Here is a 22,585-nt window from a genome sequence, read left to right as displayed (position 1 = left end):
AACCCAGCGTGGTTTTAACTAATGGATCAAAAGATGCTCATCAAAGGCTCTGAGCTTTCCTGAGTGCTAACAGGAAACATCCAGCATCACTGGTCTCTCCAAGGCTGCAGGTGTCTTTGCCCATAGTGCCTGTTTTGTGTCAGGGAAAGAATCAACCTGGGAGCCAAGCCCAGGAATCAGGATGACCAAGACATACTGCACAAGGAGGGAACAAACCCATCCAAGGACACTCAAGGACAAATCAAGCAAATGAATTTAAGGGAGACGTGCTCATGGTCTGCTTTGCTGCTCAGCATGGCTGGGAGGCACAGTGGAAGATCATGCATCCTGCCCCTGGGACTCCTCTGCCAGAGCCTGAGAGCTTTCTCCTGCCCACAGGCTAGGGGTAGGGCAGTTGGAATTGATCCATGCCTTCTAGCTAGACTGTGGGTCCCCTCAGTCTTGGGCATGGTGACAGCCCAGCATCAGACAGAGGTCAGTATCAAACTAGAAAATTTAATAAATACTGTCAGATTTGTAGACCCAAGAAAATATAAACTGCCAATCATGGAGGAAAAAAATCTCTCAATGATCTTATCTTTATATGATTCCCTTGCTGCCTGGAGATTGACATTTCCTTGGGGATAATCTGGTCATAGGATTGGTGAAGGTGGAAGGGAGGCAACCTCCAAAGGTGGGGCCCTCTGCTCACCTGGGACAGGGAGGGCCTGAGGTAGGTGTCTGTGTGGGCTGGGGAGGAGGATGGGAGCAGTGCTTCTAGATGTTTCCACTTTCTCCTCATTAGATAATAACGAATGGGTGATTTCCCTAGTCACTGCAGTGTGAGGAAATCTACAAAATTAATTTCACAATACACTTTACAGGATAGGTGGAGAAACACATGAAGCACAACTGCAGTGGGTTATAAAAAACGGCCTTTTGAGTTGAGCAATAAATTCGTTCAAGCAGCCATTCTGAAGGACAAACTGGCTCTGTATTTAAGAGGGGCATTCCAGCACTTCTCTAGCCACTGGGTTGACAATGACTCACCAAAGCCTCTGGTAGCCACCACAGGACACCCAGAGCATATGTTTTAAAGCTGAACACCAAACTGCGGACTTCGGGAGTAAGTGAACTGACTGGCTTTTATTTTGTTTTACTGCTTTTAACATTACAGTAACTGTTACAGGTTCCAGCAGGCTAACTGGGTGGAAATGAGTTTGGTTTCACTTAGTCTCTCTAAAGAGAAAGCAAGTCGGTAGACTAATACCTAATAAAAGCAAAGCTGCCAACAATTGAAATTGCCTAGGCTGCTCTGTGTGTCCCACATGCATGGGTGTGGGTGCCAGTGTGTGTGCGTGTGTGCATGCATGTGCATGTGTGTTGGGATAGAGTGGTAAGAAAATGGGAAATAATAAGAATGTTCAGTCCATAGCCCTTCATTATAAAAAGGTGAGCTGTAATAAATACTAGTGCCACATTTAGCCAAAACTTTACTCCAGCCAAAGGTGATATTTTCATGATAACATCCTGTGATTGCTTTGTTCTTCATCTTTTATGTTCTTCCTAGATGGGCTCAGAACATACAAGAATTAAGTACACATCTTATTTTCCAGTGATAATGCTACCGGCAAATTCTGTTGTTTGTATAAACATCAGCCATGTTTATATAACTAAACTAGTGTTTTGTTTTGTCAATTCAGCAAGAAATTAGACCAAATGGTGGCTTAATGCTGCATTGATTTGGCTATCAATTTGTTTTCACTTTTCTGCAAAATAATTAATACATTATTAAATTGAATTATGCTGATGCCACAGTTGTTCTTATCTCAAGTGTCTTAAAATTCATTTAATTTGTTTTTCCTTTGGTTTCATTATTCAGATTTTAACTTCAGTTCTCAAGATTTTATCTGATGGAAGAGATGGAGTCCATTACTAAGGACTCCATTGTGCTCCATCATGCCAGAGTTGTAAAATAGATCTTTTAAAGGAAATGTACTGTGATTTTTTTTCTATTTAAGAGCTTCCTCTCCAGTTGAGCATGTAAGAAAATTATACCAGGAGAATACAGTAAACTCTATGAGGCAAGCTATAAACATGTAGCATTGTGATTAGGGCTGGTTCTCCTTCTAGAGACATGGTAGGATTGCAATTTCATACCATCCTTGAAGTTAGAGAGAGCCATGTGACTCATTTAGCCAATGAACTGTGAGCAGAATGACATGTCACTTCCAGCTGAAGCTTTAACAATCTGAGAGACATTCATACATTTTCCATGTGCTGTAGCCTTATACCCAAAGCCTGGGTCCCAAGTGACCATGACAGGCAGAGCTCCCTGTTGAGCCACAGAGATTTAGAGAATGGCTGTTAACACAGCATAATCCAGCCCATCCTGACTAATCTGATATTAACATGTATAATAAAGAATTCTATCAATGATGAGGGAAGATGACTAGTTAAGGTCCTAGGTTGCAAGTCTCAAAACCTCTTCTAAGGATTGTAGACAGGAAATTAAATGACTTCTAGTCCCTAGAGTTCCCAATCTCCTACCATCCCATCCTAATATGACAGAAGTAATTCCTGAGTTGCTTCTGAAACCAGAGCTTCCCTCAGAACCCTTAGCCTGCCAGATGGCTTCTTGGAGAGCCCTCACTCACTTTTCTCCTTCTGCTATTGCTGCTCATTCATTCCAGCTTTTAAAAATTCATCTTTATCCAGGAACCTCGCTTCTAGAAAAGTCATACAGGTGCTTCCAGGAGGCTACATGGGCACCCATATTTTTCTAGCCACTTTCATTAGACCAATGCAGCAGAGAAGAAAAACCTCAATAATTATTATGACATGGCATGTTAGGATACCAAGTAAATTGCATTTGTAAAATGTGATTTTCTGTTGGTGTTCACTTCGGCTCTACTGACATTTGGTAAGTATTATTGACTGACTGACTAACTAATGTGGTCATTAGTCTTCATAAAGAAAGGCTCTCTACAAAAACGGAAAGATGCCCTTTTTCTGGCATTTAATACGTAAGAAATTGCCTCCAATAGAAACCAGAGTTGCCTGATTACTATCAGCACAGGAGAAATGTATTAATGTGCCTTTCTAGTAACAGGTTTTTAGAAAGTCAAATATAAACAAATCTGTCTATTTGTGTGTGTGCATGTGGTAGTGGGGAGGGAAGAAAAAAGGAGGGGGAGAGAAAGAGAAATAAGAACCAAGTTTATTATACTGTATTCAGGGGGAAAAAATTTTCCCAAGGTTCTAACAGAAGAGCAAAGTGCCACTGTCAATAGCCTCAGTAGTGTTAGAGTTGCTTTTATTTATTTATTTATTTATTTTTCCTTTTTTTTCTTTCTCTTTTTTTCTTCTTTTTTTTTCTTTTCTTTCTTTCTTTTTTTTTTTTTTTTTTGGACAGAGTCTCACACTGTCACCTGGGCTGGAGTGCATTGGTGCAATCTCGACTCACTGCAACTTCTGCCTCCCAGGTTCAAGTGATTCTCCTGCCTCAGCCGCCCAAGTAGCTGGGATTACAGGTGTCTGCCACCGTGCCTAGCTAATTTTTTTGTATTTTTAGTAGAGATGAGGTTTCACTATGTTGGCCAGGCTGGTCTCAAACTCCTGACCTCATGATCCACCCACGTTGGCCTCCCAAAGTGCTGGGATTACAGGCGTGAGCCACCGCCCCTGGCCAGGATTGCTTTTATAGCCAGTCTTCAGGTGCCCACTGTAGGAACAATGTCATTTAACCCTCGGGATTATTCTGTGCCAAATATGGATAATGACTAATATCCAACACAGATATTCTCAGCTCAGAAGAGCAATTAGCAAATTCATACATTAAGTGCTTGCTTCCTCTTTAGTCAAATACAAACGTTTGTTAAAAGATATTATTTTGCTTTACACTTTTTCTCTCAGAAATAAACAGATGCTTGAATTCCCACAGTGCTGCTTGAGCCTCACACCATGTCATCCTGCCAGGCACCCAGATCCAGTTCTAGAGTTTCACATGATCCTGAGTGTTGGTTAATAAGTCAATGTGAACTGGGAGGGGAGATTTTTCAGGAGTGCCACAGGGCTCTCCCTTTAATCACATACACTCCCTGCTTTCATTGGAAAGTGTATAATGATGTCAGAGTGCCCCAGAATGGAGCTAGTTGGAAGACTGCCGTCATAGGGATGCCTTAGTGAATTAATAAGGTTTTAATTTCTGGCTCTCAACTTTGTAGATGTAAAAGTTGATTTATCAATATGTGAGAAAGGATGAATCTTTCTGAAGGTTATGTCATCACACTCTCTAAGCACACAGAGAATAATGTCTAGAATCTGAGTGCCATGTTATCAAATTGTACTGAGACTCTTGCAGTCACACAGGCTGACATGTAAGCATCGCCATGCCTAGTACAGACTCTCCCTGCAGATGAAATTATATGGGATGCTAAATTATAATGAGAACAATGTTTGGTGAGCCAAAACTACAACAAGGGAAGCTAATTGGATGAATTTATAAAAATATGCCTCAGCCAAAATAGCTTAATTCACTCTCCCTTATCATAAGGATAATCTTGCCTAAAGGGACAGTAATATTAAAGACACTAGGAATAACCTCTGTACTTTGGACAGTAGACCTGCATAGCCCATTAGGCCTCAATGAAGTCTTATGCAAGACCAGAAGCCAATTTGCCATTTAAGGTGATTCTCCATGTTTCTGCTCTAACTGTGCTTCACAATACTCAAAACACTAAATCAGGATGTTTCCTGGAGTTCAGGGAGCTGTCCGTGTTACTGAGCAGTTCTCAGCAACACAAAGATCCTACTGACTCTTCATCAGACTTCTTTCTCACTGGAATTTTACACCTGGGCTGTTAACACCAGGCCAGGTCAAATTCAAAGGAGAGAAAAAAGCTCATTATGAAGGGTAAAATCCAAAACACTGTGCATAAAGATATGTGTGCACAATTTTTATACATAAAGATTTCATAAAACCAAAGCATCAGGAAATGAAAAGAGATACAGAAAGAAAAATGATGGCAAATGAGACATTAATTTACCCTTCTAATCTCTATCACAGCAAAAAGATAATTAAAAAATCTATATGAGGACCACAAAATACACAAAAATTATGTAGCAAAGCCTATAGCCTGAAAAAGTAAACACTGAAATTTGTATGTCCATAAAATGTTTACAAAATTCAGTACATATTACACACCCCACCCTAAAAACATCTAAGCAAAGTAGAGAATGTAGAAATGCTACAGATTATATTCTCTGATTATGACACAACAAAACTAGAAATTACAGCATGGAAATTTAAAAGCTTTCTCTTAAATAATTCTATGTCAAAAAGAAATTCAGGCCGGGTACAGTGGCTCATGCCTGTAATTCCAGTACTTTGGGAGGCCAAGGTGGGCAGGTCACTTGAGGTCAGCAGTTCAAGACCAGCCTCGTCAACATGGCGACACCCTGTCTCTACTAAAAATACAAAAATTAGCTGGGCCTGGTGGCTCATGCCTGTAATCCCAGCTACTTAGGAGGCTGAGGCAGGAGAATTCCTTGAACCCAGAAGGTGGAGGTTGCAGTGAGCTGAGATTGCACCACTGCACTCCAGCCTAGGTGACACAGCAAGACTCTGTCAAAAAAAAAAAAAAGAAATCCAAATAAAATTTCCAGAATATGTGGAAAATAGTGACAATAAAAATATTACACATGTGTAATCCCAGCATTTTGGGAAGCCAAGGTGGCAGGATCACTTGAGACCAGGAGTTCGCAACCAGCCTGGACAACATAGGGAGACTCCATCTCCACACACGCCAAAAAAAATTTTAAATAGCCAGGTATAGTGGTACTTCTTGTAATCCCATCTACTTGGGAGGCTAAGGTGGGAGAATCACCCAACCTCAGGAGTTCAGGGCTTCAGCAAGCCATGATCATATCACTGCACTCCAGCCTCAGCAACAGAGCAAGATCCTATCTCAAAAAAAAAAAAAAAAAAAAAATCACATGTGGGAAATAGCTATAGCACAATAAAAATAAATGTATTAGTATGAACAACAAAAAAGCTAGTAAAGGTTGAACAACAACTATCCTTAGGAAAGTGGAATTAATGTATTAATAAATATGAAAGCAGGCTAGGCATGGTGACTCACATCTGTAATCCCAGCACTTTGGGAGGCTGAGGCAGGCAGATCACCTGAGGTCAGGAGTTCCAGACCAGCCTGGCCAACATGGTGAAATCTTGTCTCTCCTACAAATACAAAAACTAGCCAGGCTTGGTTGTGCACTCCTGTAATTCGAGCTACTTGGGAGGCTGAGGCAGGAGAATCTCTTGAACCTGAGAGGCAGAGGTTGCAGTGAGCCAAGATCATGCCACTGCACTCCAGCTGGGGCAACAGAGTGACACTCCATCTCAAAATAAATAAATAAGAAAGCAGAAACTAATAAATTAGAAAACAGAAACATAGAACTAATTTATAAATCAAAGCACTATGCCTTGAAAAGAGGGAGAAAAATTGTGAATTAAGGAAGGGAAGAGATGGTTGGAGAGGAGGTGGGAGAAGGCAGAGATAATTGAAGGAGCAAAAGCATCTGGAGAAGCAAAGCCACTGAAAGATGAACAGGGCTCTGAAAGAAATGCTTGATTGCTATCTTTCCAAATAACTGCAGTTGCCAGTGACATCATTTTTCTCCTCCCTGGAAGTCTGAGGGGCAGTTCACTTATCTCCTCCCCTCCCCTACTCCTCACCCCATACTCAAAACCTGTCTATGCTCCTTTCATTCTCATATGACAGATTTCAGATGGCATTCTTATTTCCCTGATTTCTTTTTGAGATAGCTTGCATTTCCCTCCTCTATATAAAGCCACCGTTTATCAAATGCCTACATGGACCAAGCAGTCCACAAGGGCTTCACAGACAGTTTTACTAAACTCATGCCAAAACTTTCAGGTTTTATACCTACCTTATAGATAAAGAAATTGAAGCTTATAGAGTTTAAGTAATGTTCCCAAAGCCTCGTGGCTAGTAATTCAAACCTAATTTCTGCCTACTCCAAAGTATATTTTTCCTCATGATACTATACTGTCTCTCCATGGATAAAGACAGAGATCACATATTAATAAAATTTGCACAAAGTCGGCAAATTGTTGAAAGGGAAGGCTAAGATGATTAATAAAATCAAGAGCCAGATGATCTCAACAACCTGAAATAACTGGCTGACAACCAATTTGAATAACTCCCTGCGGGTGAATTTCAAAGTACTATTTGGGTTTTTTTTTTAAAGTTTGGCTGGGTGCAGCGGCTCACGCCTGTAATCCAAGCACTTAGGGAAGCCAAGGTGGGCGGATCATGAAGTCAGGAGTTGAAGACCAGCCCGGTCAACATGGTGAAACCCCACCTCTACTAAAAATAAAAAATTAGCCGGGCCTGCTGGTGGATGCCTGTAGTCCCAGCTACTCGGGAGGCTAAGGCAGGAGAATCGCTTGAACCCAGGAGGTGGAGGTTGCAGGGAGCTGAGATTGCACCACTGCACTCCAGCCTGGGCGACAGAGCGAGATTCCGTCTCAAAAAATAAAATAAAATAAAATAAAAAATAAAAGTTTGATATATTCAGAATCAGGGAGGTCTGTTGGGTGCAGTTCATTTGAAAAATTCCTCAGCATTTTAGTGATCTGTATGGTCCCTCTATCTGTCAGGGTCCTAGCAGGAAATTGTTGCACTCTCAAAGGATTAAGCAGAAAGAGTTTAATGAAGGGTCTCTTTCCAGGGTTAAGGGAACTGCTAGGGTTTGGATATTTGACCACTCCAAACTCATGTTGAAATGTGATCCCCATTGTTGGAGGTGGGGCCTAATGGGAGGTGTTTTGGTCCTGAGTGTGGACCTCTCACGAATGTCTTGGTGCCATCCAAGTGAGTTCTTGCTCGCTCTTTTTTTTCTTTTTGAGATGTAGTTTCACTCTTGCTGCCCAGGTTGGAGTGTAGTGGTGCGATCTTGGCTCACTGCAACATCCACCTCACGGGTTCAACCCATTCTCCTGTGTCAGCCTCCAGAGTAGCTAGGATTACAGGTGCCCACCACTATGCCCAGCTAATTTTTGGTATTTTTAGTAGAGACGGGGTTTCACCATGTTGGCCAGGCTGGTCTCAAACTCCTGACCTCAGGTGATCCACCTGCCTTGGCCTCCCAAAGTGCTGGGATTACAGGTGTGAGCCACTGCGCCCACCTAGTTCTAGCTCTCTTAATTCCCACAAGAGCTGGTTGTTAACAAGAGCCTGGCACAAACCCCTCTCTCTCGCCATGTGATCTCTGCACATGCCAGCTTCCCTTCCCCTTCTGCCATGAGTGGAAACAGCCTAAAGCCCTCACCAGAAGCAAATGGTGGCACCATGCTTCTTGCACACCTTCAGAACTGTGAACCAAATAAACCTCTCTTCTTTAAAATTATTCAGCCTCTGGTATTCCTTTATAACAACACACACACACACAGACACACACACACACACACGCAAAAGCAGAGTAAAACAGGAACTAATTAGAAATGGTGATGCACCGAGGGATTGGCACCGAGGCTCCCCAACAGGAACTGAGGCCATGGACAGAAGGACACATTCATGATATTTTTTTCTAATGGTTAAGTAATTATTTGCTCTTACTCTCAAAATTTCTGCCAAGGCCTCCCATGGACCAAACTCAACTAGAATCTAGGAAGCAGAGAACCTGAGTGTCGCATTCAGCAGAAGTCAGCTTCCTAGGGAATCTTGCAGGAAGGGTGAAGGTAGAGAATCTGGTGGGGAAGCAAGCAAATGCCCATCACATGCACTTTCCTCCAACAGAGCGACTCAGATGCTATAAAACTTGCTAACGCAGTCTCAGGGTCTGATCACAGTAACATACAATCCAGGTTTTAATCATCAGAAATCACAGTCCTATTGTCTTCTGCACAGACCCAAACACACTTGGAGGTCATGTTCAATATGAATACCTCACAGAGAAGGAAATTTACACACGAGAAGTACATCTGCAGAAAGCCAGCTGGCATGTCAACCATTCGAAAACTCAGGGTGTTCGGGATAAAGAAGACTCAGGAAGACAAGTATGAAGCATAATCTGTGACATTCCATGCAGCAGACGTTAGACACATACAAGAGAGTTGTTGGAAAGCGGAATTTATCTTCATATAAACAACACTGAGCTAAATCTCAATATTTCAGATCTCTAGAACTATCCATCAGTGAAATGGATTGCAAATAGAAAGAGTAATACCATGTCATTTAAGAATACAATCATGGACGAGGCTGCCACCTGCTGTTGGGGGCCACTGCAGAAGAAATTCCAGAACACTGGACTGGAGAGCACCTCACTTTCCTTACAGCTCTAAGTTTCTGACTCAGTGACCTGATTCACTACCATATACACAAAGACCCACTTACACAAATGACTGTTCTTCACACTAGGCCCATGGAGACAGGGATAAAATTCTGAATTTGCTCAGATACCTTCTCCGCTACTGACATCTAGGCATTACACAATTCATCTCTTCATATTTAACCTTTGAAGTTTGCTACTTCTCAGAAAGACTAATGAGTAGTGAGCAAATATCCTGAAGCTGAGAATGCTTCTACCTCCTCTCAAAACAACAGAATATTCATCAAAACACAGCAGTTCTGCACTTAACTTTAGGCCTTTTCTAACACCTTGTTTCTTGGCAGTAACTGTGGCCAGAATAGCTCTTTCCACAGATAAAGGACCTTTTGAAAGGATAGGGTCTCTAGATAGAAAAGCAAATGCCTCATTCCAGAAGGTCTTCAAGAAGAAAATGTTGTGGTGATAACAAACATAACTGATTATAATCTATTCTGTGAAAAAAGCTTATGAAACAGTAGATGTGTGTATCTAGTACATAAGAGCTGAATGTCAATATATATATATATATATAGATATATACACACACTCAAATAAATAATAGTTATCTCTAACTAGAGAAATTCTAGTTGCCTTATATTTTCTTCTTTTTCCTTACTATATTTTCTACAATAAACATGTGTTTTTAACAAGAAAAGTCTTTTCTGGTGTGCTTTTTAATTTTCTTTGTTTAAGTGAGAGTGAGGCTACATAACTACATGGCTAGGTAGACTTTCAGAAAACTTGGCTGCTCTAGAAAATTGACATATCCTGATTTCTTCCATAGCTTGGATCTTGACCTAGAGGGACATATAAAAATGTTGACTTGAACCTGAGGGGTGCCATTTTCACTGCTGAAGTAGTTTCATGGATCATGAATTGGAGAAATGACTTCAGCAACACGGGTGTTAAAAACAGAAAGCACAAGTGACCCACAACAGATGATGGAGAACAAAGAGCAAGCTGGGAAAAGCAGTGGCCTTTAATACAGAAAAGAAGAAGTATAGCCTCAATAAATATTAGGCAGACAGCAGTTCAGCAGTTTATACTATTAAGATGTTGTTTAGGGGAATGGTAAACCGACATGACCCTTGAGGTAGGTATATATAGGTAAATTCTATGTGTCCCTTGAAATAGGTGCATGATACAACTTCTGGCGGCTACATGGATTTGGTCACTCTAAAGTAGCCATGAGGCTTAAGATAGTTCAGCTGTTTGGGGATAAGTTAAATCATTTGCCGTTGTCTTTCTGCAATTTGCGTATCCTACAGTTATCATTGCCATTACTGAATGGCACAGAGAAAAATTCTGGTCTAAAGTGGTTCTCAAACCTGGTTGCTGGAGGGCCACCCTCAGTGATGATGATTTAATCTGTAGAAGAGTAGAACATTGATAGTTTTTATATATCTCCAGGTAATTTTAATATATAACTGGGGTGAGAATCATCGACGTAATTGTAAGAGGATAATATTCAAGAAATGTGGAGATAAATAATTTTCTTCTCGACATTAAAAAAATCTAATAAAAAGTTTTATCTTTTCCCCTAATTCAGGGTCATCAGCCTTCAAGCTTCAGTCTCTGTGTGTTCACAGGTGCTGTAAACACACGCATCACTACTAATATCCCACTTCAGTGCTATTGCTGCTCCCAAAACTCCAGGTATTTTTAACCTTATAAACCTCCAGAGTAATGAGACCACTGGGTTCAGTAAAGTGCTTTGTTTTGAAGCAGTGTTAGACAAAGTGGGAGACTAGAAGATAAATCTGTCAATGACATGTCCTTTAAGACTACTTAGATTTTGTTGAATTTGTGGATCATTCCTTACTTGAGCAAATGGTAAATTAACTCTCTCTTTTCTCTCTCTCTAGCTGGCACACTTTTCCCAGTAGCCATTCTACTTGGTATGCTTACTTATCAGCTGTCCTCCAGGGGCCTCACATTAGATGTTTCTCTTGACTAACCAAACATGACACACAGCTGAAGTCAGAAAAACCAGATTGATAATTTCACTCAAACTATTTTCCTTCATTCTAACAATTTACTGGAGTACACAATTGTGACTATTTTTAGCCATAGGAACTCATAGAAAGACCAACTTCATTAGACCTACAAAATCGAATTGTGTAACAGTATATGCAGTATGTGTAGGAATAAAAAGCATTTCTCAAATATGCAGTACTGGATTTTGCAAAAGCACCTTATACTTAGCTATAAAGGAGTGGAAAACACAAAGATGAGTAACTGCACCTTTCAAAAGACTAGAGCTATACCAATAATACAAAGGTGTAAACAAATAATGATGAGATGACAAAGGCTGAGTGTTTTCTATTTGGAAGCTATGTTGTTGAATTATTTATGTATATAATTTCATGCAATCTTCATGTTATGGGGGTGTTCTAATCCACTGTGACTCTGTCCTTAAATAAAAGGGAGATTTGGACATAGTGAGAGGCACACGGGGAGGATGCCATATGAGAATTGACACTGTGCTGTCACAAGCCAAGGAACTACTGGAAGGAGAGAAAGAGGACTGGAACAGTTCCTTCCTTAGCACCTTTTCAGGCAGCCTAGCCCTGCCAGCTTCTTGATCTGGACTTCTCACCTCTAGAATTGTGAGGCAATAAATCTCTGTTGCTTAAGTTACCCAGTTTGTGGTACTTTATTACAGGAGCCCTAGGAAAATAATTCATTATATAATCTGCTAAGGTAGATATGATCATTGTCTCCAATTTCCATATGAAGAAACTATGCCTCAGGCATTGTGTCAGTTGTCCAAAATCATACATTCCTGACTCACTTCAATGAATTCTTCATTCAGCAAAATTTTTAAGGTACCTTAAAAAAATTATGTTAACTCTTAGGTCCTTGCTTTAAAGTTTCAATGGGCTTTTTCCTTTGCAAAGAATAAAATCCTAATACTTAAGCATAGCTCTCTTTCCTGGCTATGTTTCTGACATCCTCTTGTACCATGCTCCTCCTTAATCATTCTGAGGTTACACCTTAAGTCCTTTCCCCTTGCCATTCCCACTTCTTGGAATACTTTCCCATCAACTCTTCAAAGAACTGGCTTCTTTAAGTATTTGGTCTCAGCTCAAATGTCACTTCCCTGTAAAAGCTTCCTGGCCATCAAGCCTTCTTTACACACTCTATTTTATTTTTTCATGGTTCCTATAACAACCTAATATATTCTCAATTGATTAACTGTTTTGCTGACTACTGCCTTCCATAAGAATGGAAAGAAAACGTGGCCAGGTGCAGCGGCTCACACCTGTAATCCCACCACTTCAGGAGGCTGAGGCAACATGGCAAAACCTTCTCTTCAAAAAATTTTTTAAAAGTTAGCTGGATGTTGTGGAGGCAAGAGGATCACTTGAGGATCACTTGAGTCCATGAGGTCAAGGCTGCAGTGAGTCATGTTTGCACCACTGCACTCTAGCCTAGGTGACAGAGCTAGTCCCTATGAAAAAAAAAAAAAAAAAAAAAAAAGAATGGAGAGAATGCTACATGAGAGAAAGGATCTTATGTATCATGTTCACCTCCCAAGAGGTGAACATATCCCCCAAAGCCTGATAGAGAGAAGATGCTCATTAATATTTAATGCATGACCATGTGCAGACTTGGGAGGAAAAATATGCCTCAGCCTATCAAAATTGGATCCTTAATAAACAAGGATGCTTCTGCATCATTTTCCCACAACACCGAACAAGTGTGGCTCACTGTGGATGTCTAAGCAAATGCATTGTTTTTCCAGTTATATATCTGGTAGAGATGAGGCCATTGATAGGAATGGGAAGACGATCTCCTTTTATTTTGATGACCCAGCATGGCTGAACACTCAGTGACTACCACTGCACTTTGTTGTAGTTTCAGCATTAGAGATGCCAGCCCTGTAGGATATAAAACAGGAACATCTAGTCCTCAATTATATTCAGAATTACTCAAGTCTTAGAAGCACCACTTGTCTTTTTTCAAGGGAGAGAAATGCTCAAGTGATGGGCTGAAGTGAAGGGAGGGAGTCACTCACTTAAACGGTTCCCTTAGGCTGTGTGGATGCAAACAGCATTAGACAATGACGCTGACAGTGGGAAATGCACTGGAGACGATGATTGGCAAAGCCCTCCTTTTCTCCCCATCCACTATAGATACTGACAGCAAAGGGTTTGTCACAATGACAACTATACACTCCCAATATCACAGAAGAAGGAGGAATAAAAGGGTATATTATGAGTGACTGAAGTTTAGAATAAATTAATAAATATTATGTCCCTCATCCATAGAAACCACAAAGGTCTAGTAATGCTAAGGATATAACAAGAAAATAATATGAATATTTGCTTCCCCTTCCTAGTGTAATAGAGTAAGTTACAAATGGCTTCAGGAAGGGGAGAGAGGAAGAAGAGTGGATGAGATACGTAAGAGTGCCTGAGGGCTAATTTTATGAAAGCTTTGGGAAGTTTTAAGAAAAAGAAAAGCTATTTTTCAAGGTACATGTGTGTATGCATGCGTGTGTGTGTGTGTGTGTGTGTGTGTGTGAAAGACAGAAGAAAGAGGGAGACCTAAGAAGACTATGAGACACTAAGAGAAAAATTAAGGTAAGAAAGACACACACTTAGAAAAACACACATAGGGAGGAGGGAGGAGGTTAAGACATTTTACTATGTGCTGTGAATGGAAACTACAAACCATTTTTGATATATGCAATATATATACATATATACACACATATACATATGTATTTAAAGATTTAAATTACATTTTCTCTTTTTTTAGAGATATGGTTTCACTATGTCACTCTGCCCAGGCTGCAGTACAGTGGTTGTTCACAGTCATGATCATAGCACATTATAGCCTTGAACTCCTGGGCTCAAGCAACCCTCCTGTATTACTCTCCCCAGTAGTTGGGATTACTAGCATATGCCACCATGTCCACCTTTATGCTTTTTAAAGTGAAAAACCATACTAAGAATGAGGCAGCTCAACTTAATAATAAAAACATTTCGAATGTAAAGAAATTTACAAAAGAAAAACAACCCCATTAAAATTGGGCAAAGGGAATGAACACTTTTCAAAAGAATACATGCATGCAGCCAACAAACATACAAAAAAAAAGTTCAACATCACTGATCATTAGAGAAATGCAAATCAAAACCATAATGAGATACCACCTCACACCAGTCAGAATAGCTATCATTAAAAAGTCAAAAAATAACAGATGCTAGTGAGGCTATGGAGAAAAGGGAATGCTTATACACTGTTGGTGGGTGTGCAAATCAGTTCAATCATTGTGCAAAGAATAGTGATTCCTCAAAGAGCTAAAAGCAGAGCTACCATTCGACCCAGTAATCCCACTACTGGGTATATACCCAGATGAATATAAACCATTCTGCCATAAAGACACATGCATACAAATGTTCATTGCAGCACTGTTCACAATAGCAAAAGTATGGGATCAACCTAAGTGCCCATCAATGACAGATTGGATAAAGAAAATGTGGTACATATACACCATGGAATACTATGCCGCCATTAAAAAATGATATCATGTCTTTTGCTGGAATATGGATGGACCTTCTATTATCCTTAGCAAACTAATGCAGGAACAGAAAACCAAATACAGCATACTCTCAGTTATAAGTGGGAGCTAAATGATGAGAACTCATGAACACAAAGAATAAAACAGACACTGGGGTCTACTTGAGGGTGGAGGGTGAGAAAAGGAAGAGAAACAGAAAAGATAACTATTGGGTACTAGGTTTAATACCTGGGTGATGAAATAATCTGTACAATAACCCCCTGTGACACCAGTTTACCTATGTAACAAATGCCCCTAAACTTAAAATAAAAGTTAAAAAAAAAAAGAAAATTAAAATCTCCTTATCATCTACCTGGTAATATGAAAAACACAAATCTTTCATTCATTCCTTTCAACTGATGAGGAAACTGAGGCATCGGGAGTTAGTAAAAGTCCACATTGAGATATGAGACCCACCACTGGCTGGACGCAGTGGCTCACACCTGTAATCCCAGCACTTTGGGAGGCCGATGCTGGTGGATCACCTAAGGTCAGGAGTTCGGGACCAGGCTGGCCAACATGGTGAAACCCCCATCTCTACTAAGAATACAAAAATTAGCTGGGTGTGGTGGCAGGCACCTGTAATACCAGCTACTAGGGAGGCTGAGGCAGGAGAATCACTTGAACCCAGGAGGTGGAGTTTACAGTGAGCCAAAATCACGCCATTGCACTCCAGCCTGGGCAACAAGAGCAAGACTCTGTCGGGGAAAAAAAACAAAAAACAAAAAACACCACCATCATTTTGCAAGTGTTACCACTATTGTGTGTTAATATTGTAGAAGTATTCCTAATTATGATTTCTTTGTATTCCTAATTGTAATAGCTTTGTATTTGAAAAATTATTGATTCATACTCTATATGTTATTATTTTGTATGCGATGACAACAGAATATATTATCATGCTCCTTTTGTGAATCTCATTCATAATATAAAGTATAAATTTGTGATTTTGCTTTAATTTGAAATATTAACTTCAAATATGTTATCACAATTTGATACAAACTATTGACAGTAAATCTGTGGATTAAGTAATGTCTTAGTAGGTATTGGGAAAATTTGAAACTAGTAACATGGAGGACTATTGTCATTGTTTATTTCAAAGCCAGTTAAAATTCTGCAAAGCAGTGTAAATAAAAATAATTTCAAGAAATTTATAAAATACCGAGATTATGGTGTATAAACAACTTTAGATTCTTTGTTTAAGAAATTCTGCCAGTTTGTAATATATGCTTCATTCAAAGTAGCTAAGGGCTGTACCTGGCTAATAGTAGGCACCTAATATTTGTTGAAAAGGAATACTGAGTAGCTGGGACCTCCTGAGTAGCTGGGACCACACACATTTAACCTGTATTTATAAAATTACTGTTTAGAGAATAACATTTGATGGAATCATGCTTTTACTTTCTGCTTATGACTCAATTGTTTGTACTGACATTAACATCCCAAATCCTTAGCATGGCCTACAAGGCCCTGAGCAATGTGGCACCTGCTGAAGCCTGCTGCCTCATTTAATAACTCTTTGTTTCTTTCCCAGATCCAGCCACTCTAACATTTTTTAGTTCCTGGACCAAGACAAGCTCTTCCCAGAACCTGACCTTTGTACCTGTTCTTTATTCCTGGAGTATTTTTCCCCTGACAAATTACTTATCATCTATCATAAATCAGGTTAAATGGCACTAACTCAGGGAAGGCTTCCCTAACTGCCTCCCTTCTCCAACCAAATTAGGAACAATTATATGGCCACATAGTATCGAATCAAGTTTATAATTTTAAAATAATTGGGAGATGTTGTTGTTTAACACTTGTTTTCACTATAAGACTGTAATTACATGCAAGTAAGAACCATGCCTGTTTGTTCACTCCTGCCACAGTCAGAATAGTGCCTGGAATATGCAGTAAGGGCTGAACAAACACTAAATAAATGAACAAGTGAATAAATGGATATTGTCTCGTTTTTAGAACAGAGTACTAAATGGATCATGAACACTATCTGGTATGTCACGTAGGTAATTTACAAAGGCTACAATTTCAGCTCAGATTTACCTTTTCCTGGATACAGGTCTTGATAGGTCTCTTGATGTCATTTCACTTCAGATTCTTCTTTAGAAAACTTCGACAATAGCATTTGCTGTCTTGTCCAAATTGTTACTAAGAATCAAGAGAGATATCTGACATGAAATGACATTGGAAAACATTAAACACGATTGAAATAATGCTAGCCAATATGGTTATTATTAGAAACCAATTACATTTTCAACTTAAAAATAGTAATACTTATTGCAGACTCAAATGTGCTTATTCTAAAACAAGTAAATGTTTGCCTATGGTCTGAGATTCTAATCCACGGAGTTCATTCTAATCCACATTCAACACTATCATGTACCAGTGGGCCTCATAACCCACCTAGCCCTGTGATTTTTCAGGTTCACTTTTCTAAACTTGTGAATTAAATATTTATTTTCTTAGTTCAGAAGAGGAAAAAAACTCTTGTAATTGTTGCCCATTTCAGGAGAAATCCTGCATATGAAAACAAGAGATAAATATACACAACTGAGGGCTGTGGTTTAAACAAAATCTTGAGAATGTTTTTTGACCTTATACATTTGTGCTTTAGTATAACAAAATGATATAGACAAAGGTAACTTTTAATAGAACCAGTCACTAAATTAAAAAAATGACAAATTCTTCTGCTTAGCTAAGCAACAGAGAAGGTAAAATACTAATTCAATTCATCAATTTAAGCAATACTCATTAAGAGCCAAGTATGTGCTTACTGAATAAGCTGCTAAGGTTTGGTGGTTACAGAGTGTGCGGTGAAATGATGTCTACATCACAGTCCAACATTCACGGAGTTTAAAAGCCTACCGAGAATCAAGACAGACACAAATACCTAACATAGACGTTTGTATGTGATAAGAGAGCCAGAGTACAATTTAGGAGAAAAAATTGTATGGAAGGAAGGTTCATTTCCATTAGACCAGAAAAGACAGCACATTTGAAGGCCTGAATAAGAAATATTCTGGATAAGATATTGTGGCTGCTACCAGAATGGCTCTTGATGATCTCTACCTCTTGGTATTTATACCCTTATATAATCTCTTTCCTATAGTGTAAGCTGGTCCCAGGTACTTGTTTCTATTGAATAGAATAGAACAAAAGTAATGAGATGCCACTTCTGAGATCAGATTATAAGATACTGTGAATTTCATCTTGTGCCCTCTCCCTCTCTCTCTTTCTCCTGCCCTCTCATTTGAATGAAGCCAACTGGCATGCTGTCAGTGGCCCAGTGTAAGTCCTGTTACAAGAAATTGATGATTACCTGTAGCCAACCCTAAGTGAAGAACTGAGGTCCTCAGTCCTACAAATGGAGAGAAACTGAATCTAGCTAAGAACCATGTGAGTGAGCTGGGAAGAAGATCCACCCTCAGTTGAAATTTAAGATGACATATTGAGCAGACATACTGAGACACACTGAAAGTAAGAGAGCAGGAGGAAACAAAACCAGGGTCATACAAAGAACACAACTGATTCTGAGATTCTCACATAAGTATTACACCTTCAGTGAGCACGTGTACTAGAAATTAAAAAAATAAATAAAATAAACCTTCAAAGAGAGCTAGCAAATAAATTTCCCTATGGTCTCAGCTCTGAGTGGAGAGAGAAAATGTTCCCTGTGGAGTTTATAGCCAGAATCCAGCTCTCAAACAGGTTTCAGCCTGAACTCACACAATCTGTGTGGCTTCCAAATTTGCAAGCTGAGAATTTAATTCAAAGTGGTCTCAGGTTGATAGCAGTCCAAAATGCTAGGTAGGAAAAAAAATCCTCTCTGGACAAATAAATCATCAAAGCAAGCTCATAAGAGCAGGTTTCAAAGGTCATGAGCTTCTAACACACACACACAAAAATCACACACACAAAATGGGGGTAGCAGCAACATGGGTAGCGTATTCAAACTTGAAAAGACTTTAAATATTTGTATTATTAGATGTAGATTATGAAACACATATTTTAATGTGGTTAATTTTTTTAAGGAATCAAAACTATGAGTAAAGACCAAGAAAATTGTGCTGGATGGCCACTTCCACCATGGCTCCCCTCCTATTTAAGTCTGGGTACTGTCTCACCCGAAGTCTTCAGGCACATTGTTCCAGGTTTGGGTTTGCCTATGAAAGAAACTCATGAGAGCTGGAAGTGAGGAGTGAAGAGGAGGTCTTCACATAAAGCAGGCTTAAGGATTAGACATAGCAGGTTTGACAGATGTGATGGCTTGCAGAATTCTTTATGAGCTCCCACTGTCCATCTGGATAAGATTTACAGACCTTTCAGAAATTCCTATAAGCTTGGGTTCTGTGCCCACACTCTAGACTGTCAGGCTAAGATCTCTGATATAAAACAGACCTCTTCTGATTTTGTCTAGCTGCTTTTCTAATATCTATTCACCAAGCTCTTCCAATAATAGCATAAGGCCCTAATTAATATTAAACTTTTATCATTATAATACATAGGATGTCCTCTGTTTTCCTGATCAAATTCTGACTACTATTAAAATATAAAGAATTGTCCAGAAATATATAAAAAAGAATCACACATTGATCTTCTTTAAATGAAAATATAACAATTGTATGGACTAGGATGATTACAGTTGTTCAGTTCTGACTGTTATTCGAAGAAAAAAGCAATAAGAAGCCTCAGCAACTTAACAGAAGGAGCTGCCATTTACTAGGAGAAAAGATTGTGGATGAGAGTGTAGCAAAGGTCAGAATTCTGTGAAGCTTGAGATGTCTATTATAATGAATTATCTTTTATACTCACTACAATTTCCTAACAATTTTGGGGTTTATATTTTTGAAAGAGATATACCTTTAATTTTCTTTCTTTGTACTATTGTTAGGTAACTTTAATGTGCAGATTATACTACAGTGAAAGTTGCCAATGACAAGGCAAAGTCACTTACATCAGACCCAAAGCAAAGTGGAGCCGGGTCATGAAAAAGGGGATCTTGTGTGTGTGTCCACGATAAGCACTATCACAAGGACTTTCTATAAACTCACAAGAAATTTCTGCCCACCCAGCACACTCTTGTTTGTCCAGCTCATCCTGTAGGTGTCTCTATAATAGGACCTATCATAAAAAATTCCTCAAGACTGCAGCATTTCAGATAAGCCACCCTCACAAGAACACTTGCCTAGCAATGGCTGTTTCTGCCAGTAAGTTAACACCAGCTCCTGCATCAGGCCCTGTGACCAGTGATGTTTGTTTCAAAACAGCTTGCATAGACTTCTTTTTGTCTTTACATATTTTCCTTACCTCAACCTCTTGGGATGCACCTATGATTGATCATAGCACAAATATCTCAGATTATAAAACTTGTTTATTTCCAAATAAATTTATTTCTTCGGAGATCCACTTTTTCTGTTATTATACATTGACACTGTTATTATGAAATTGGTTGGGTGATGTGTCGTATTTTCTTGTCTCCAGAAGAATTTCTGTAACAGTGCAATTAAACGTTCTTTGCATGTTTGCTAGAACTCACCTGTAAAATTGTCTGAGCAACCAAAGCCTGGTTTTTGTGTTTAGTTTTTCTTTTGTGACTGGGGAGGGGGGTTTATCGTACTGATTCAAGGTGTGAAGGTAACATCATTTTGATTTTATACATCTTCTTCAGTCCATTTAAGCATGTTACATAGCGTTGTTTGTTCTTTTCATGATATTCTTTACAGTAGTCTCCTAAATGTTCCCTCTGCTTCTGCCATGAGCCCCTACAATCTATTTCAACTCAGAAGCTATAGAGTTTGTTTAAAACATGTAACATATTATGCCACCTTTCTTACTGTAAAACATCCCATGGTTTCTCGTAGTATTTATAGTAAAAGTGAAATTTTTATGATGGCTTGAGAAACTTTTCCCATTAGATGCCCAAGTGCTGGTCTGGTCTGATCTTCTCATCTTCCCTTGGGTGATTCTGTGGCAGTCACACTAGCCTCCTTGCTGCTCCACAAAAACTCCAGCATGATCCTACTTCAGGATATTTGCCATTGTTACTGCATCTGCCTGGAACCTTTTCTCCCATATAAACATAGAGATTGCTCTTGCCTGTCCTTCAAGTCTATTCTTAAATGTCCCACTCTCTGTGAAGCTTTCCTGCCCACCCTATTTAAATTACAGACTTCACTCCCAATTCCCCATCTACTTTAAGAGTCTTCATTTATCATTCCTTGACAAACTGTAAATATACATGTTCACTTTTTTATTGTCTGTCTCCAAATACTGGAATGTTAAGTTCTGTAATGTCAGATATTTGTTTGGTTCACTGGTGTATTCTTAAAGCATGTTACATACTAGGTATACTCAATGAATATTTGTTGAATAAATATCACATTGGGCTTATTCCAGAAATTCAAGCTTGTTTCAATAGTTAGAGCAATCTACAAATGTAATTCATTACATTAACTAATTAAAGGAGCTAAATCACATCACCACCACAATAATGCAGAAAAACACATTTGATACAACTCAATATTCATGTCTGCCTAACAAACATCTCATGATACTAGGAAAAGAGGAAGGGATATATTATTTTCATGTATAAAACACTAACCATTGTAGCATGCCAATATACTCAAAATTCAATGAAATTCCTATCAAAATCTTAGCATTCCTCTTAGTCCTCAACAAAGCATTTCTAAAATGTGTATAGAAGACCAAAGGGCCAAAAGAGTCAACTTCTGAAGAAGTGGAAAAAGAAAGTTGAGGAAATCTTAAAACATGTTATTGAGCTTAAAGTTGCAAAAATAAACTCATGTACCATAATTCATGAGTAGAAAAACAGACTAGTGGAATAACATAAAAATAAAAACAATGCTTACATAAAATGTTGTAACTGATTTGGATGTCATTAGAAATCAGTAAGTAAATAGATGGACAATGTAATGAAAGATGCTAGGCAAATAATGTGGTAGGGAGAATAATGGCCCTCAAAGATGCCCATGCCTAACCCTGGAACCTGTGAATATGTTACACTGAATGCAATAAAGGCTTATCAGATGTGATTAAGGATGCAAACCGAGATGGAGAGAACTTCCTGGGTTATCCAGATGGGCCCAGTCTAATCACATGAGTTCTTAAAAATGGAGAACCTTTCTTAGCTGAGTCCAGAGAGAGATGTGACAATGAAAGAATGGTCAGAGAAATGTGACATTGCCAGCTTTAAAAAGAGAGAGGAGAGGCAATGAGAAAAGGAATGCTGATGTTCTCTAGAAGATAGAAAAGGCCAGGATATGGATTCTACCCTAGCCGCCATAAAGAAACATGCCTGTCGACAACTTGATTTTAGTTCACTAAAATTCATGCCTGATTTCTGACTTGTGTACAGTGTAAGATGACAAGTTTGTGTTATTTTAGGTCACTTAGTTTGTAGAAATTTGTTACAGCAGTAATAGAACAAGTGGTTATCCATATGAGGCAAATTAGATTGGATATCTATCTCCAATAGAAATCAATTCAAGGTGAATTCCAGGAAAATACTTAAAACATTTAGATTAAAAATAAATGAGAATTTTTGTTACATTTGGTAGGTCATAGAACCAAGAAAAACAAACATTAAGGAGGAAAAATGAACATATGACTACATCAAAATAT

At 39.0% G+C, this 22,585-nt stretch overlaps 1 long non-coding RNA gene across 4 annotated transcripts in view; it reads right to left on the bottom strand.

Annotated features, from left to right (window-relative positions):
• The window catches only part of LINC01881 (long intergenic non-protein coding RNA 1881), a 71,871-nt gene that overhangs the window by 4,628 nt on the left and 44,658 nt on the right, over window positions 1-22,585 (bottom strand). The window contains exon 6 of one of the 4 annotated variants that reach the window (NR_130699.1): window positions 16,988-17,112. The exons of 2 other annotated variants lie outside the window; for them this stretch is intronic. This is a non-coding gene — a long non-coding RNA (long intergenic non-protein coding RNA 1881). The remainder of the gene's footprint in view (window positions 1-16,987; window positions 17,113-22,585) is intronic. One more of the 4 variants, NR_130702.1, reaches the window with a different exon arrangement.

The sequence above is a fragment of the Homo sapiens genome, chromosome 2 (assembly GCF_000001405.40).
Source record: "Homo sapiens chromosome 2, GRCh38.p14 Primary Assembly".
NCBI classification, from domain to species: domain Eukaryota; kingdom Metazoa; phylum Chordata; class Mammalia; order Primates; family Hominidae; genus Homo; species Homo sapiens.
This window is presented reverse-complemented; position numbering and strand designations above follow the sequence as displayed.